We start from the raw sequence: 18406 nt of genomic DNA on the forward strand, positions 1-18406 counted from the left end.
TCTTTAACCAGCAGGTTACGTGACACGTGACACCATCTGCATGTGACCTACTGTCTTCACTGGGACAGGCCTTCTAACTTGGGTCAACTGGCCTGAACCCATACGTAGAATGATTGATATATAGTTCACTAAGTTAAATTATACATTTATAGACGCAAAAAAAATTTTGACATACAGTGTGGTTGTGTTGTATCCTACTGCTCTAATATTAGGAAAGGGGCTGGGATGCTAGGTCAGCTGGGACCCTCTTTTTCTCGCTTGCATTCATCTCTTTTTCTCTCTTACTCTCACCACTTTTCTACCTCATGTTGAGTAGCGCCATGAAGACCCCTCCTTCATCACTCTGCCTGCAGTTATCCTGGGAAGCAATTATAAGCTTTCAGCCTCAACCATGCAGACTAACTGGCTCTACTTCCTTCACTATTGCAGTTTCTAGTTCTGTTCGTAATTGTTGCACAAGACTTTGTGCTATTGCAACTACTTGGAATGCCAGTTCCAGGCAGAGTGCCCTCTGTTGTAGACACCTTGTGCTTTGGGAAGTTGTCTGTGATTAGGGGAGTAATTTTCTATTTGAGGTTGGTCTCAGGAAGGGAAACCACTCCTGACTCCTGCCTGAAAACTCGCCTCCTTGCTCAGAAACACTAATTACAGGGGTCGTTTGATGCTCTCACTTAAATATTTTAGTCACTCACACATTTATTGACTATCTGTATGTGCCCAACCCCATTCCAGGTACTGAGGTTAAAAATGAGTGAGATGCAGTCTCTCCATACCACAGAGCAAAGGAGGAAGCTTGTTTGTGTATATGGAGCATGGCCCATGCAGGGTTACTTAATGCTAGAAACCAAACACTCTGAGGCAAAGAAAAGGTGTAGGGGGTTGGGGGGCAGGGTAGAGGAATAGTCTACCCAGACTGCCTGTCACTCAGACCAGCCACTCTGCTGCAAAAGGAGTTGGCTTATCTTTTTTTTTTTTTTTTTTTTTTAAGCACTTAGCAGTTTCCTAGGGCTGCTATCTGCTGTAACAAACTGTGTGGCTTAAAACAATGGATATTTATTCTCTTGCACTTCTGGCAGCTTAGAAGTCTGAAATCGAGGTGACAGCAGGACCATGCTCCCTCTGAAGGCTCTAGGGGAGACTCTTTCCTTGCCTCTTCCTAGCTTCTGGTGGTGGCTAGCAATCCCTGGTGCAGTGTAACTTCAATCTCTACCTCTGTCTTCACGTGGCATTCTTCCCTATGTATCTCTTCTGTCTCTGTCTCCAAATTTCCCTCTCCTAAATCCTGTCATTGAATTTAGGGCCACCCTAATCCAGTATGCTCTCATTGTAACTTGATTACATCTGCAAAGACCCTATTTCCAAATAAGGTCACATCCCCAGGTTCCTGGGTTAAGACTTCAATGTATCTTTTTTTTTTTTTTTTTTTGGAGGGGGCGGGAGTAGTGCACCATTCAACCATGACATCTATACTCTGTCCACCAAATGCAGGTGGGTTTTGTACAGACACCAAAGCACATATACTTTGCACTTGGGCAGTAGCCCTTTGGGAGTCACTTGGGATCTATTTCCTCTTAATTTTCTTCAAGTTTAAACAAATTTGATCATCCAAAGGAGCCATACATAGCCCAATGATGAGAAACGTGAGCTTTGGCTTTAAAACTGGTGTTGAAGCCTGCCTTTCCAATTTATTGTGAGTCCTGGAGCAACTCGTGTAACTTCTTTAATCCTCAGTTTCCTTATCAGTAAAATGGGAATAGTGAGAATACCTACACCACTGAGTTGTTATTAAGCCTGCATGAAAACCTACATGTAATGATATTCACTGTGCTGAGCACTTTACATGATCTCATATAGTCTTTTCAACAACTCTTAATTGATTGGTATTTAGACTTCTGTTTTACAGATGCAGAAATAGAAGCTAAGTGATTCGCCCAAGATCTCCAAGATACTAAAAAGTATCAAGAGTTGGAATTTGAACCTGGATTTCCACTGTGCTCTATTCCTCAAGACCCTTTTTAATAGTTATGTAGCGCTACAGTCTAGGGGTTCCTAAACTTTTTAAGGAAAGTCCAACTTTTTATATCCCTAAAGCCTTGCTCTCACTGAAGCCTTGATTGAGGCCAAGAGAGAATGCCTTGCTGCTGCCCCCATGAGCCACTGCCCATCTAAGGAATTCCCACAGATGCCCACATTTACCCACATGCTTTAAAAGCTCTTGTTTATTGAGTCTTTGCTGTTCACCTGGCTGCATATTACATTACAAGGCAAGGTAGCATGATAGTTACATGTCTGGGCTCTGGAGACAGACTGCGTATGACCTGGTGTCTTCTTAGAGCAAGCCTTCTAACTTGGGTTGGCTGAATCAAATCTATATGTAAAATGAATGATATACAGACAGTTCACTAAATCAAAGCCCATCTCCACAATCTACCTGACCTCGGACAGATGACATAATCTCTGTATCCCCCATTTTCCTTATCCCTAGGATAAGGGCTGAGAATAATAAGCCCCTATACAGTTGTTGTGAAGATTAAATAAGTTAATGCTTGTAATGCATTTGAAACATGACCCAGCACATTGTGGCCTACTGAATTTATCTTCTACTACCTTTGAGCAGGCATCATTGTCCTTACTATTTTACAAATAAAGAAACTGAGGCCAGAAAGGCCATATACCACTAGAAGGTTCGAGCAAAGCAAGGATTCAGGCTCAGGCCTGTTTGACTCCAGAGCCCAGTGGTTACAGCAGGGACTGTACTTGATTCTTTAAATCCTCCTTCTGCTACCTGTCCCATTCCTCCAGTGCCTGGACCATTGGAGATGTTTAATCAGTATTTATCCACAGATAAACCCATTGCATCTATGCCCTCCTACCTAGGCTTACCTGCTTTCGAGATCAGGGGATGTGTTAGAAGGATGTGATCAGTCCTTATCAATACCCTTTCTGTTTTTAGTAGTTTGGATAACATTTATTGAGTGTCTACTATATGGCCAGGCATTGTGAGAAGCATTTCACACATACCTTTCCTCATTTACTTTCAGAACCTTCTAAAGGAGGCTTCACTCTCTGCATTTTATGGAAACTCTGGCTTACAAGGACCCCATCGAAAAGGATGTTCCCTCTTTGTGGCCACCTTCTTTCATGTCCTTTACAGCCGGACATCCTATTTTGGCCAGACCATATAATTGAAAATGATCTTAATAATGAGACAGACAGAAAATAACCTCACCATTTCTCTCCTCTTCTTCTTCTTCTTTTTTTTTTTTTTTTTTTTTTTTTTTTTTGAGACAGAGCCTTACTCTGTTGCCCAGGCTGGAGTGCAGTGGCGCGATCTCGACTCACTGCAATCTCCGCCTCCCGGGTTCCAGCGATTCTCCTGCCTCAGCCTCCTGAGTAGCTGGGATTATAGGCCCTGCCACCATGCCTGGCTAATTTTGTATTTTTAGTAGAGACGGGGTTTTACCATGTTGGCCAGGCGGATCACTTGAGGTCAGGAGTTCTCTCCTCTTCTTAAAAGCCCCAGAGTCCCACCATATTTTAATTATTTGATGGAGGGCCAACCACTGCCTGCCACAAAACTTAAAGGGGCACAATTTCCCTTGTGATCTTGGTGAAGGGAGCCCATAGAGTTGTGCAAGGCTGCTCTGGGCAGAGGTGAGTGAAGCACTGCCCCTTACGAGGCTGCTGGCAATCTTGCTTGTTTTTCCATTTTCCACCACAAGAGGGCAACATATGACCATGAATGATTTGAAAATAAAGCGATTCCTTAACTGGTTCTCTTTTTACCAAAGAATTTTAATAATTGTGCTCCTGGTAAGTTAGAATGGGGAAAGTTCTTCTGTTAGCGCCAAGTGAATATTCTTAAGGGATTGAAATTCAAATTGTCTTGAGAATTCTCCAAAAAGGAAATAAAAGACATAGAAAAATGTTATATGAACCACATAAATGGCTGTTTTTATAGGTCAAAATGTTTGAATATGGGTCATTTCTGATAAAACAGGAGACTCCTTCACACGTGCCTTACTTATGAAAAGGGGTTCCTAAGCCTTGCACATCTTCAAATTGAGGAGATTGTTTTCAGACGTAACCACATGGGTTCAGAATGGCAATTATGCAGATGGAGAATGCCTTCCATGGCTTCTTGTCTGCCCTGTGAGTGCTCATAGCTCTCTTGTAGGCTCCCAGATGAGTACTTTTTACTCCATTTTAAAATGATTTGTTGGCTTATCTATCTCTCCTTCTGCACCAAAAGTTTCTTGGCAACTTGAGTCTTCCTGAGGTGTACAGTGCCTGGTGAAATGAATACAACACATCGGTCTATATAGGACATATTGGGTAGATGGATGGGTGAACAGATGGACAGCCAACTGACGCGTGCTAAAGGTTGTACACTCTCTGAGGCAGAGGCAGCTGTTATGTTTGTTTTTATTTTCAAAATCTACTTCAGGAGTCTCTGTGAACATGGGATTCTGTAGAGCTCTAAGCCATCTGGCCCTTGTAATTCTTCTGACCTTGTACCTTCTTCCAATTTTAATGTAATTTCTCCTTTTCTTTAGAGAACATTTCCTAACTCTACTAAAATGCACATAGCCAATGGCCCGTCCCAATTGTTGGGTATGAAACACGCCTGCTTGTTTTCAGATTCAGAGCAGTGCTAAAGGCTAATACTTACGCAGGGCTTGCAAAGCACTAGAACCAGCTGGTGCTAAGCTCTTTACATTTGTAAACTCCTGTCTCTTAATACAACAAATCTATGCAGTAGCTACCACTTTCAATCCCTGTTTCAAAGGTGAGAAAATAGAGGCACAAAGAGCCTACATCCCTTGCCCACGGTCCCCTAGTCAGAAAATGGTACTCGGCCTGTCTCCTTGCTGTGGACTGAGGGAGCTCAAAGGAGAAGGGGAGGAAGTGTTCTCTCTTCCTTTTCTTGCCTGTACTGGACAGCAGGTGAGGCCTGGCTCACAGCTGGCAAACAGGACCCAGGTACTACGGAGCCCTGGTCAGCCCTGTAAAGAGATGTAAGCAGCTATAAGTAGCAGAAGCCCAATTAGGGTTCAGTGAGCCCCTATGAGGCCTGACACACAAGGACTGCACACAGAGAGAGGGGCGTCTCCTGCAGCCACAGGCAGTGGTGGGGCAGATGGACTTCAAGACCCTGAGACACATTTTGGGAGGCCAGGCGGGCAGATCGCTTGAGATGAGGAGTTCGAGACCAGCCTGTCCAACACAGTGAAACCCTGTCTCTATTAAAATTACCAAAATTAGCAGGGCATGGTGGCACACACCTGTAATCCCAGCTCAGGTGGGATTGAGGCTGAGGCACGAGAACTCAGGAGGCTGAGGCACGAGAATTGCTTGAACCTGGAAGGCAGAGGTTGCAGAGATTGCACAACTGCACTCCAGCCTGGGAGACAGAGTGACTCTGCCTCCCCACAAAAAAAAAAAAAAAAAAAAAAAAAAAAAGACCCTGAAACAAGAGGAACCCAGGCAGCGTCTCCTGGTTGTCTCAGCACATCTGTTTCATTTTCCTCTCTCTCTGCTGACCCATTTGTCAATGGAAATTAGGTTTCTCAGTGTGTGTGGTTTTTTTTTTACAAACTCATTTAATCAAGCACCTATGAATATTTCAAATTTTTAAGTCAAATATTTGTTTTCTTTTAAAATTCCTTGTCTAATAAGGAAAACTTTTCAAGTATTCAAGTTGTTCTCATGTAATCAAATAATAACAGCAGATCCTTGTACAGGGCATACTATAGCCACCCTGGTTTCAGAACTATCTGTAAATTGCTTCATTCAAACTTGACTACAACAAGTAAAGTAGAGCTGCTATCATTATCTCCATCTTGACAGATGAGGAAATGGAAGCACAAAGAGGTTAAGTAACTTGTCCAAGATCATATTACTAGTAACTGGTAGAATAAGGGTTCAGACCCTGTCACTTTGGCTTTAGAGGCCATTCCCTCAAGTACTATAGTATACTGTCTGCATGTGATGACTTAAACTTATAAATATAATACAGTCCAAGTTTTCTGGAATGTTCCACTAATGTTTATAATTTTGATAAAATTCTTCTCATAAAATTCTTCTCATACCTCCTTAAACTTAAAATCCTGTCTAAATAAGTAACACAACCTGCACTTAATTATAAACTGGAACCACAAGGCTAATCTTTAGATAAACTAATATCCCACATTTCTTAAATGTATTTCAAATGCCAAATATACCTAGTTTTCCCCCCCTTACTCCAAAAATATTAATACTATGTTCATTTTATTATTTGTATCCTATGTGATATATTTCATCATCTGTACACTTAATTTTAAGAGAGTATGTTTTAAAATGCCTACTTAAAAAACCATTCTCTCACCTCAAGTGATGAGGGGTTACCTTTCCAGTTGAATTGGGGTGACACCAGCTGGGTGAGGTGTGGCTCGGCCAAGGGTCTGGATGTGGAGGCACCGAGTCCAGAATACCAGCGCCAAAAGGGATTCTCCAGTGGCTTGTGTTCCCAGCCCCTGTTCCCGATTCTCAGGTCTGATGAATCTGCAAGCCCTACCTACGTGAGAAGATTCATCTAACCTATTTTCTGCTTGATACTATTTCGAATTCTTTTCTGATTCTTCCCGTACATCAGATCCACAACTCTTAGAGATGTATGAATGATCCCGAGTTGGATCCTGCATAGCTGTCACGGACTCTCACATATTGTCAGGCTGTCAGCAGCAGTTCTGTGGATATTCTCATGCCTCAACTGTTCTTGCCCCACAGCTCATAAGTTTACCTGTCTTTCTGGTTCAAGGGCTAACCTAATCTGGCTAGTACACTTTTGAGTCCCAATTCTAGATTCCAAGGAGAGAAAACATGAGTGGTCCAGCTTTAGTCAGGGGTCTACCCCATTTGCTCATGGCCTGGAGTCAGGGTCCTGGAGTAGACACCTGGCCTCAGGCCTTCACTCTCATGGAATAGTTGGGGGACAGTTCTCAGAGAAGAGAGGAGATGAGTAGAAAGCACAGTATGGAAAAAGGGTCAGAGGAAAGAGGTTGTTCAAGGAGTATCTTCACAGTAGGAGAGGAAAAAAACAAAAGCAGTGCTCAAACTGGGCCAAGAACTCAGAGTTGAAGTTGTGTGTAGAAAGCTGGCAGAGGAACAGTGCTGGACAAGATCACATTGACTGGGACCCTCAAAGCCACCCCAGCTAAGGATGGGACCCTTTTTGCAAGCCTTGGTTAATCTTTTTCCACTCTTATTTCTCCAAGCCATTCAAGGCATCACTGCCAGCCAGTCAACTTTCCAAAAACATATTGGTTTATATTCTTTTTGCTTACAAATTTCCATAGTTCCCCAGCACTTTCAAAATAAAGTTTAGCACGGTTCACAAGGCTCCATAGACTTGCCCCAACTATTTCTCCAGTCTCATCCCTGTCACTGCAACCTCTTCAGAGCCGCAGCTCTGTAAACACACCTTCAGGATAGCACCAAGGCCATCCCGCTATGATGGCTCCTTTCTGATGTGAACTTTTTTGAGAACAGAGGCCCATCCACCTTTGTTTCTATCTCCAACCCCACTCAGAATGTGAGAAAAAAAATTGTATCTTTACATCATTTTCCAGTTCATAAAGGCTTTCCTAGACATTAACTGAGGCAATCTTCGCAAAAACCTTGGGAGAGAGGTATTATTTCATGAAGAAATTGAGGCTCAGAAGGACAAGGGGGCTGACAATGACCGATAATCTACCTTATACCAGGCACAGTACTGGGTGTTTTCACATGTGACCTGTTTTCAGTTTTCTGAACAAACTTCAGAGCTATCCCCATTTTATAGGCTCAGATGAGTTAAGTAACTTGCTCTAGATTGTACCTCTCATACATTTTACAGTGAAAGATTTGAGCCCTAGTTGTATCTGGCTGCTGAACCTGTGCCCTTCCCGTTAGAATGTAGTGCCTTGCCTGGGGCTGAGCATTTACTACCTGCTTAGTTACTGGTGGCTGGAGAAATGAATAACCGTTTTCCACTCTTGGGGACAAACACTTCAAGCCCTCTGGAACAGGCACCTGCAGCCATCACAAGCATAGGGCCTTGGGCTGGAGTGTCTGATTAACCCTGCTGCTTTAAGCCAAATTTCTGCCTTTCTTTCTAGTGCTTATGCCTGGAAATAGGGTTATCAGGCTCATCCCTTATGCCCACTCCTGGGACATTAGCTAAGAAAGAATTCTTGGTGTGAAGAGGTGAACCCATTCAGGCCAGCCCTCACATGGGGCCTGGGACACCATTATTAACTGTCCATTAAATATTTTTTAAAGAAACATAGAAAAGAAAGAGTGAATAAAGGATTGGTAAGTCTACGGTTTCTGCTATGCTCTACTGGGAAGGTATCACTGCTGATGCAAATGGAAGCTGGAGTCTTTGCAAGGCTGGGAGCGAAGGGGTTCATAACTCTGCCATTGTGAAATTGATTGGACCCAAGACCAGTATGAAAGTTCCTTGTCTGAAGGGAGTAATCCTTAAATCCCCCATATGGTTTAAATGTAATTTGTGTCATTGTGAAGGAGTACTGGCAATGCAGGCGAATTCATTAGGCCAAATTGGGTTCGCTATGCTCGACAGTAACGTTTCTGAAGATGAAGTTCAACCTTTGCTGGAGAGCTAAAACAAATGAGTTTCTTAATAGCTGCCCCACTTAGTCTGAGTGTCTTAGGAAGCTTAATGTTTTTAATGTCTCTTCTTTTTTACTATACTTCACAGTCCATCTAACATTGCTGCTTCTGGTAATATTTTTATATGGGGTTGAGTTCTATAGTGTTCATAAAATTATGATCAGGCCCATTTTTAGAATAGAAGCTTTTCTAGGGCAAGGATTATGTTCTTTTGGTATAGTTTTGCATATTGACAAACACCATGCCTGGCATGTGTCGTTGCTTAAAATGTTGCTCTCGTAATTCTGCCCTCAGAAAGAACTTCACCGAGAGACTGGGAGGCTGCCAGCAGAGACTATGCTGGAGTGTGGTGTATTATGTGGGCAGAGAGGCTTTGGTATGGGATGTGGGAATATCCTTGTGCCCAAGTACCCCCAAATTTACCCTGGGATTTCAAGATCTCATTAAGAAAACTACCAATTATGTGGTTGGCTGCTCTGTTATTCCAATGAAAAGATTATTGGAATGATATTTTATAAATCTGGATCTATTATCGGATATGTCAAGACACACATGCCAGCCTAATTCACAAGCCCATATAAAACCAGGGAAAACTTGGCACAGAACTTACAAAATAGGAATTTAAAAAATCATTTATAGTACGTTGAAAAACAGTGGTTATGTAAACTGTTAATAAAGCATGCTTGCTTTTTCAATTAATTTCTAAAGAATTTGACTTTTAAAAACAAATTAAGAGCCCAAAATAAGCTATAAAAAGTAGTCGTCTTTTGGCTGACTGGTTTTCAACATAATAGATGTGTTTTGTGAATTGTGTTAATGTTATGTCTCGAGGTATTTCCTGCACATGGGCCAGGCCCATTTGTCATTTGAAGGGGCTCCCTTGCCAGTGGCCTACTTTCTGCTTGTGAGCCTGTTATTCCTGCTGGTCTTGTGCAGAGCAGCCCCGGAACACAGCGGCATTCTTGACAGAGGGCAGTTGGCAGCTACCAGTGCCTGTCTACTTTCGGATGCTACTTGACAAGTTAGTATAAAAAGACTCAGATTTTGTTGCTCAAGGGATGATTCACTTTTCCCTTCAAAACCTTAATTCCTCAGTGCATGTTTGGTCTGTTGTCCAGGCTGGAATACAATGGCACGATCTTAGCTCACTGCAATCTCAGCCTCCCAGGTTCAAGCAATTCTCCTGCCTCAGCCTCCCAAGTAGCTGTGACTACGGGTGCACGCCACCATGCCTGGCTAATTTTTGTATTTTTAGCAGAGACAGGGTTTCACCATGTTGAACAGACTGGTCTCGAACTCCTGACCTCAGGTGATCTGCCCACTTTGGCCTCCCAAAGTGCTGGGATTACAGGTGTGAGCCACCATGCCTGGCTGAGAACACACATGTATGTATTTAAATAGATCATTAATAAAATCTCAGGGATCAAATGGAATTAGATATGAAATTTATTTAGGTAAAATATTTTTAAACATCCTAGTTTCTTCAAATACAAAGGACTTAAACTGCTTCCCTAAAAACATTTTATTAAAAGTCAAGTATGCTTAAAACTGAGAAAATGTTAAAAACGAATCTCATGTTCATATTATTTTTCTAAATAAAAACTCGATCCAACCCTGTGTACTCAGAAAAACATATGTATATTTTTTCCGTGTTTTGCTTACATTTTTAAGGACTTGGTGCATCCTCACGCCTGTTTTTTTGTATATTCAAAGGAATGACCAAGCTGTTGGTTATTCAGGGCAACTTTGGAGGTATCTGTTCTTCTAGAACTGAACACTGTTTTCTTAAATCTTTGGTGGCCAATGAATAAATCTGTTAGATAATTTTTTTCCTGATAGATTGCATGTGTGAAGTAAAAATAATTTCTTAGGTTTCAAAATGACAGTGATGTAAGAAAACCAGGGGTAAATTAAGCTCCCTCACTTCCATTTTAAGATTGACCTTTAACTTGCTAGGTGGCATGGGGCAACTTTAGCTGCAGATGGCCTTCTCAGAGATGAATGCCCAGAGAGGCTCTGGTTTAAGGGATGGCAGGAGCAGTGAGAGCCACACCAGGGTGTCTTGTTCACAAATCTGCTTCGTGGGACTGCATTTGCCCTCTTTGCCTGGGCTCTGAGAGTGGAGCCTGTCAGCCACCTGGTGTTTACAGCTGAAGTTGGCTGCATGCAGCACTCCTTGGAGCTATCTCTACCCTAACGGGGAAATGAGACAAAAATAATTGAAGGGTATTTGGCTTGGTTAAGTGGGCAGAAGTGTCCTCATCAAAACAACTTTGAAGACCTGCTTTGTGTGTGGGTGCGAGTGGGTGTGTGGCCCTTAACTTGTTCACAAGGGACAACAACAACAAGGAATTAACCAAGCTTTCTCATTGAGAGTGATCGTCCATGCAAACCCTCTATTTTAGTTACTCATACGACACTGTTGCAGCTTCAGGTTGGACAGACCTATTTTGGAGTCCCTTGACTGCTTTCTGGACACCCTCACTGAGCCAGTCGGTGGAAGTGAAGGATGAGTGATTTTGAAGAATGGATTTCTGGGACATATAGAAAAATGGAAGAAGGTCCTCTCCCTCTGTTGACTTTTGCTACAGCTCCCTACCACGATCAGAAACCAGGAACAAGTGGATTACGGAAGAAAACCTATTATTTTGAGGAAAAGCCATGCTATCTGGAGAATTTCATCCAGAGTATATTCTTTTCCATAGACCTAAAAGATCGCCAGGGATCATCACTGGTGGTTGGTGGAGATGGGCGGTACTTTAATAAATCAGCAATAGAAACAATAGTGCAGATGGCAGCTGCCAATGGGGTGGGTATATGATAAGTATTGTTATGTTTCTGGCTCTCCAAATAACCTTAATTTTACAGAAGTATACAAACGTACAAGGATTTATATGTGGTATACACTTCAATTCTACTAACATCCAGCTAAGTTTCATTGTAACTTCAGTGATTGTATATTGTGAAAATACTTCAGAAATTACATTAGCCACACTGGGATACAGGAATGTTAAGTTCAGCTTCTTAGGTATTATGCTGTGTTCTGTTGCTTGACAAAGTACCTGTTGCTTTTTAGACATTTAAAGCACACTCCCGGTCTTAAGCTGTTTTATCTACATTCTAACTAGCTTCAAGGGGCACCCTGTCCTGTGTAAGAGGGCTCTACTGAATGGTGGAGAGAAGAGGATTTTGTTTTCTTTCAATGGCTTTCTTGTTGAAGTTCAGTCACTTGTCAAACAGGAAAACAAAAGCCAGGGCATGCTGTTGTTTATGGATCCTGGTAGTCACGCAGAAATGCTAGGAGGGGTTGGAAAATGTTAGGTGTGAGCCTTTTGAGGGGACCTGTTACAGGGGCACCTGCTTATAATGACCTTGGACACAAAGAAGCCGTGCGCATGGTGAATTTGTGCAGCAGGGTAGAGATAATAACTCCTGTAAGACTATAGTATGAGGCGGCTCTGCTAAACCTCTGCATCGTGAAAAACCGTGTTGGCTGGATTAAGCAAATGAGAAGGAATATTGTACCAGAACGCATTGATCTTGATAATCTAACAATTCGTGCAGCCCACTGGTTTCCAGGAAGGTGGGCATCAGGACATTGATGTTTTTGCTCTGCAAATTCCTCAGTGGGACCAGAAATACATTTTTAGTGTTTTAGATAATGATTAGCAATTAGTTGGAGCACATAGTCCTTCAGTACCTGCAAATTTTAAAATCTGGTGTATTTCTTTTCTGGAAGAGATTCTGATTCTTGGTAGATAAAATGTAGTATTGCAACTAAGTGTGTTAGACATTCATTTTCAGTGTATTTTCAAAATATGCTGAGCAGGTATGTTTGCAGAAGCAAAATTAAAGCAAAACAAAATAAAATGTACCACCACACTAAATTTTAAAGTGTTTGTAGATCCTGTTGTTTATAATTAGAGTTTTCCTGATACTCAGTTTCAGAATCTGAATGCCTCTCATGTAAAAGTTGCTGATAAAGCACTCAAATATGAAATTATTATGAAGCATACACATTTTTAAGATAAAATGTGACATGCCATAAATTTTTTCTTTGAGGAGAGCTGCAAAGGGAACAGTATTAAGATGCTTTTAATCTTTTGAGAGGGAACGAATGGAACATTATTTCTCCACATATATCTAGACTGTTGAGTGGATCTGGTACACTGTCCCCTTTGCTGTGATATATTTGGCTCCATTTCATTTTTGTGTGGAGCTGAAGAATGTGGAAGAAGTGGTAGGAATGTGTAATTCAGGCACACCCTACAGACTTTCTCAGATTTGCCCTCTGAAGGTTTGCTAAATAATACATTTAAGTGATAATTGACTAAATATGGTAGCTGCCTATTTGTTAGAGCTGTTGGCAGCCCAAGCAATATTTTCAAGTCTTTTCAAGGTAAGCTTAGAGGTGAGAGCCACCTTATTAAAAATAGCACTGCATTTAAAACAGTCATGCTAACCAACTGAATTGCTTAAAATATTAGTGGACTGGATAAAGCACTTCAATCGGATGCGCTTTAAACCTGTGAAATTCTAAAGGGTTTGATTTCTTCTCTTTCTAACATATCCTAAATTCTGACTGTTTTAACATGCCTTTGATTGTGGGTGGGACTGCAGGGAGGAAATCTAAAGGAAGGATAATTATTACCACAGATTTTGACAAAAGTCAGTGCTCCTTTCTCATTTTCTTTAATACCCACTGTGCCCATAAGCTGATTCTTGGAGGGCTTTTCAGCCCACTGAGCTAAATGGAGATCATTTTATTTTTTTTCCCTTTACCATACTTTATCTGGTGCATTTATGGGTTATAAGTTTCTCTTCATTTTTTATTTACATAGAGCTCTCTGCTTTTAAAGGACGTTTTATTGCACAAAATAAGATATTGACGGGCCCCTTTTAGAATATTGATATCTCATTCAGTCCCCAGAGCTCTAAACTGAGAGGTAAGTTTAGAGGTAAGAGCAGGACCCATGTGCATGATTACAGGACAAAGAAAATGGAACTTGTTTTTTAAATAACCTAAGAAAATACCAAGCCCTGTTTTCAATTAAAAGGAATATTTAAAGTTTACTCCCTGCCATGTTTGACTATTAGATGTTTGGAGAACAATGAGATACCCATTTTGGTGGGGAGGCGTGAGTTTTAAGGAAGGAAGTCGTGGGAAAGGAAGGCAGGCAGGGGAGGCCATTTGAGGATGGACTCTTAGTGCCTGGCTGAGGGGGTTATCTCTAACTTGGGAGCCAGGAAAGGTAAAATGTACATAACATCAGATTTACCATTTTAACCATTTTCAGTGTATGGTTCCCTGGCATTAATTACACTCACAATGTTTTACAACCATCACCACTATCCATCTCCAGAGCCTTTTTTAAAAATCATCCCATACAGAAACTCTGTACCCGTTACACAATCATTCCCCATTTCCACTCCCACCAGCCTCTGGTAACCTCTGTACTACTTTCTGTCTTGATGAATTTGCCTATTCTAGTTACCTCATAGAAGCAGAATCAGACAATCCTTGTCCTTTTGCATCTGGCTTATTTCACTTAGCATGATGTTTTCCAGCCTTATCCGGGCTGTAGAATGTGTCAGAATTTTATTCCCTTTTTTTAAGTTAAAAAATATTTATCCTTATGACCTGGCAGTCACATGAGAAAAAAAAAGAAAAAAAAAATTATCCTATATATGTCCTTCCAATCACATCCATATCTATAGATTGCAATGTCATCTTTGAGTACAGTGACAAATTCTTTAAAAAGTTTTAGTTGTGGTAAAAACATGTAATAAAATTTACCACCGTAACCATTTTTAGGTGTATGGTTCAGTGATGGTAACAAAACATTGTTGTGCAGCATATCTCTAGAAAGTTTTCATCTTGCCAAACTGAAAGTCTGTGTCCATTGAACAACTCCCCATCTTTCCCTCTTCTGAGCCCCTGCCAACCACCATTGTATTTTGTGTTTCTATGGTGTTGACTTCTTTAAATACCTCATGTAAGTGGAATCATACAGCATTTGTCTTTTGTGACAAATGCTGTATGACAAATTTCACTTAGCATAATGTCCTCAAGGTTCATCCATCTTGTGGCATATGGCAGGACCCCCCCCCCCCCACACACACACACACTTTTAAGGCTGAATAATATTCCACTGTATGTATACACAATATTTTGTTTATCCATTCACTTGATGATAGACGTTAGCGTTCTTTCCACCCTTTGACTTTTGTGAGTAATACTGCTGTGAAATTTGGTGCTTAAGTGTCTGTCTGCGTCCTGCTTTCAATTCTTCAGGTATATACCTAGAAGTGGAATTTCTGGGAGGGTTTTGGAGTCAGAAAAGGGACACAGAATTATGATTTAGAAAGATAAACTAGATGGGTTTGAGTAGGTCAGATGGATCCAGCCAGGGTCGAGTAAGAGAGAATCATGTGGGACAGAGGCAGGGGAGATTGAGTTAGGAGCTGTTGCAGTGGTCCAGGCATCTTTAAGGGAAGGAGGGTAATAGAGCAGTGTCTCTCCTGTATCAGATCGAGAGCAATATTCCTGAGGGTGATTCCCAAGAAAGAGCCTGATCTGGAAGGGGAGTTCTTCCACCAGATGTACCTCTTCTTGGGCTCAAGAGAGAAGCTACCTTGCTTCTATCTCTCAACTTTCCTTCTTACTCTTACCCCTGGCATAATCCCCTCAGCCTGGAACCATTGCAAATCTCACCATAAGGAATGGTAGAATTAAGGGGTGACATGGGTGGTGTAGCTTAATATCACCAGCCTCTCCTTCCACACCAAATACAATCTATATAAAAATTGGTATGCTTGGTGTGTAAATACAACTCGACAAGCCACCCCTAAACCCCTCCTATGGACATTCTGGAACTGCCCGAACATAGGCTTTTATTCTCATCACAACCACACCTGGAAACTGCTGGAAGGTGAAATGTCACTGTGTTGAGTCAGGACGTTTCAATACTTTCCCCCACCATGGCCGCTAATGTGCTGTGTGGCCTTGTCGTGTCATCTACGCCAGTGTCTGCCATAGTACCTTTCCATTAATGCTTGTTATTATTGCTGCTGGATGGAGGCAAGAATGAATGAATGGGCAGGATCATGATAACTCTGGACCTCAGCTTCTTCATGTTTGCAGTGGTACTTGGGAAGAGCAAATGTGGGAATGGATCAAAAGTACCATGGGATGTAGAAAGCACTCTGTAGCTCAGTAACAATCATCGGTTTTGATTTCACACTATCTGCAGGTTCCTGTAGTCTAAAAAGCAGCCTACTGACAGCATCCACCCTGGTGGTTACCATTTCCTGGGGAAGGCAGGATATAACCAATATATTAGGGGAGCTACAACAAAAATTGTTCGGAGATTGACATATGAGAGCCAAGAGGTAACTGAAGGGAACCAGGTGCTCCTTGGGAGGTGGTTGGTAGTGGAGTGGTTGACGGTTTTCAATGGGCTATGGAAGGGTGGCAGAGCCAACAGTCCCAGAGAAACTCTCCCCAGGGAATCCAGGTATCTCACGGACATTTTCAACACTAGAAACACATCTTCCACCATCAAGTTGTTTCTTCAATCATGTTTATCTTGGGTGAAGCAAAAAGAAATAACAAATGGAAAATGTAAAAAAATCCCTGTTTTTTAAGAGGAACTGACAGCACCTCAACCTTCTTTTCCAACTTGAGTCATGTTGAAACAGATATAAATTACTGTCATTTTAGCAAAAAAGATTTAGGAGCAGTACTGATACCATCTGTAAGAGATATGGGAAGGTAAGTTAAGAATGCAACAGAAGTCCCATCTGTCGCCCTTTCATGTAGGTCATTCTGACTGGTTTACTCAGGAATAACTCCAGCATTCTTGTCTTAGGCCCAGGAGGTAACCCAGGTACACTGTAACAGAAGTAGGTGTGTCTTGCTTTGAGGAAACCCACTATATGAAAAAGCCAAGCTTGACTGGAAAGATAAATTGATGAGTCATTTTTCAATAATCTTGATATAAAATTTGCCCTTTTTACTTTAAAAAAGCCTTCTCTTTGGGTAGAATCCCTTTAATTAGCTAAACCTTTTCTTTTCTCCCGTTGTGGATTGAAAGTATGATTGAATTGGATAAAAATGTGGGTTTTCTCATATTCTTTCAATGCATCCAAATTGTGGCCCCGATCTGGAAAGGCTCTTTTTAATATGCTGTGTTTTCATGCTGGAGCCTTACAGTGCACACAGACCACACACTTCTAAAACTACAAAGTCCCGAAAACCATCTGAAGGAATTTGTTCAACATTGCTGATTCTATTTCAGTAATATGGTGGAGACATCCAAGCTGCAGATTTTTATTAAATAAAATCTTTTCTTGTCCAACAGATTATTACTATTATTTTTTTGTCCATCTGCCTGTTGTCTTGGTGTTGTTTCTGAGCGGTGACTCTGGATGTATTGATGTTAAAGAGTGTGTTCTGGATTTCTTCTCCTAGATCGGTCGCTTGGTTATCGGACAGAATGGAATCCTCTCCACCCCTGCTGTATCCTGCATCATTAGAAAAATCAAAGCCATTGGTGGGATCATTCTGACAGCCAGTCACAACCCAGGGGGCCCCAATGGAGATTTTGGAATCAAATTCAATATTTCTAATGGAGGTGAGTTTGCTGTCATTTTGAGGACAGGTAAGTTTACATTCAGTAGGACAAATCAATACCTGGAGCCTTGGGAGACCAGGGTTTTGGTTCTGATCCTTTGCAGGGGGTAGGGAGGTGCTCTTTGCTTCCTTTCAGTGACAGTGAAATGCTTCTCATTTGACTGTACCTGAATATGAAGAGCCATGCGCAAATCTTCCTTAACATGATATTTTCTTTTAGAAAAATCCTGCTACTTTGCTGACTGAATGATGAAATGGTAGATGTGCTAGTGAAGAGGAACTGATGAGCTTTGGATTCTTTGTATTTCCATGTGAGCTGCACGAAGTAACCCACTGTTTGCTGTTTGGTTTCCAGGTCCTGCTCCAGAAGCAATAACTGATAAAATTTTCCAAATCAGCAAGACAATTGAAGAATATGCAGTTTGCCCTGACCTGAAAGTAGACCTTGGTGTTCTGGGAAAGCAGCAGTTTGACTTGGAAAATAAGTTCAAACCCTTCACAGGCATGTTTACTTTCCTCCTCTTTCTGCCCACTCCTATTTCCAAGTTGAGCGATTTTCCTTTCAACGTTTTAGTAGAGGGTCTTCAGCTTTGGAAAGATTTCCGTGAGTGCTCTGTAAGCTTTGCAAGTGTTAGTTAATTAACAAGTCTGGAATTAGGTTTGGGAGACCAGAGACCTGGGCTCCCTGGGCCCTGCCAGGGATCAGCTGCATGACATCGAGTAAGTCATTTCCAGCACTCTAGGCCTCAGTTTTCATGCCTTGACTAGAAGACCTGCAGGATTACATTCATAGTTAACTTTTATTGACCTCTTGCTACATGCCAAGGTCTTTACACGTGTTAATCCATTTTATTCTCACAGTAGATCTGTCAGGGCAGCACTGTCAGCATTCACTATTATAGATGAGGAAACAAAGGCTGAGAGAGATTAAGTAACAGGCTCAAGGTCACAGTCAGTGAATGGCAAAACGAAGATTTCAACTCAGGTTTGAATGATTCGCAAGACTACACTTTCCATTTTAGTTTTCCTCATTCAGTAAAATCAATCAGACTATTTTGGGGGGACCAAATTGCAACTCCCTACATAGGCAGCTGTGGCTAACATTTTGTTGTTGAA

General features: G+C 41.6%; 1 protein-coding gene across 3 annotated transcripts in view; it reads left to right on the plus strand.

The window, feature by feature from the left end:
- The window catches only part of PGM1 (phosphoglucomutase 1), a 66835-nt gene that overhangs the window by 18886 nt on the left and 29543 nt on the right, over positions 1–18406 (plus strand). For 2 of the 3 annotated variants that reach the window (NM_002633.3, NM_001172819.2), the window contains exons 2-3: positions 17129–17291; positions 17646–17792. In NM_002633.3, the coding sequence (NP_002624.2) occupies positions 17129–17291; positions 17646–17792 (310 nt within the window). Of the gene's footprint in view, positions 1–10919; positions 11465–17128; positions 17292–17645; positions 17793–18406 lie in introns of those variants that run through there. The other variant, NM_001172818.1, reaches the window with a different exon arrangement.

Source organism: Homo sapiens, chromosome 1, assembly GCF_000001405.40.
Source record: "Homo sapiens chromosome 1, GRCh38.p14 Primary Assembly".
Lineage (NCBI taxonomy): Eukaryota > Metazoa > Chordata > Mammalia > Primates > Hominidae > Homo > Homo sapiens.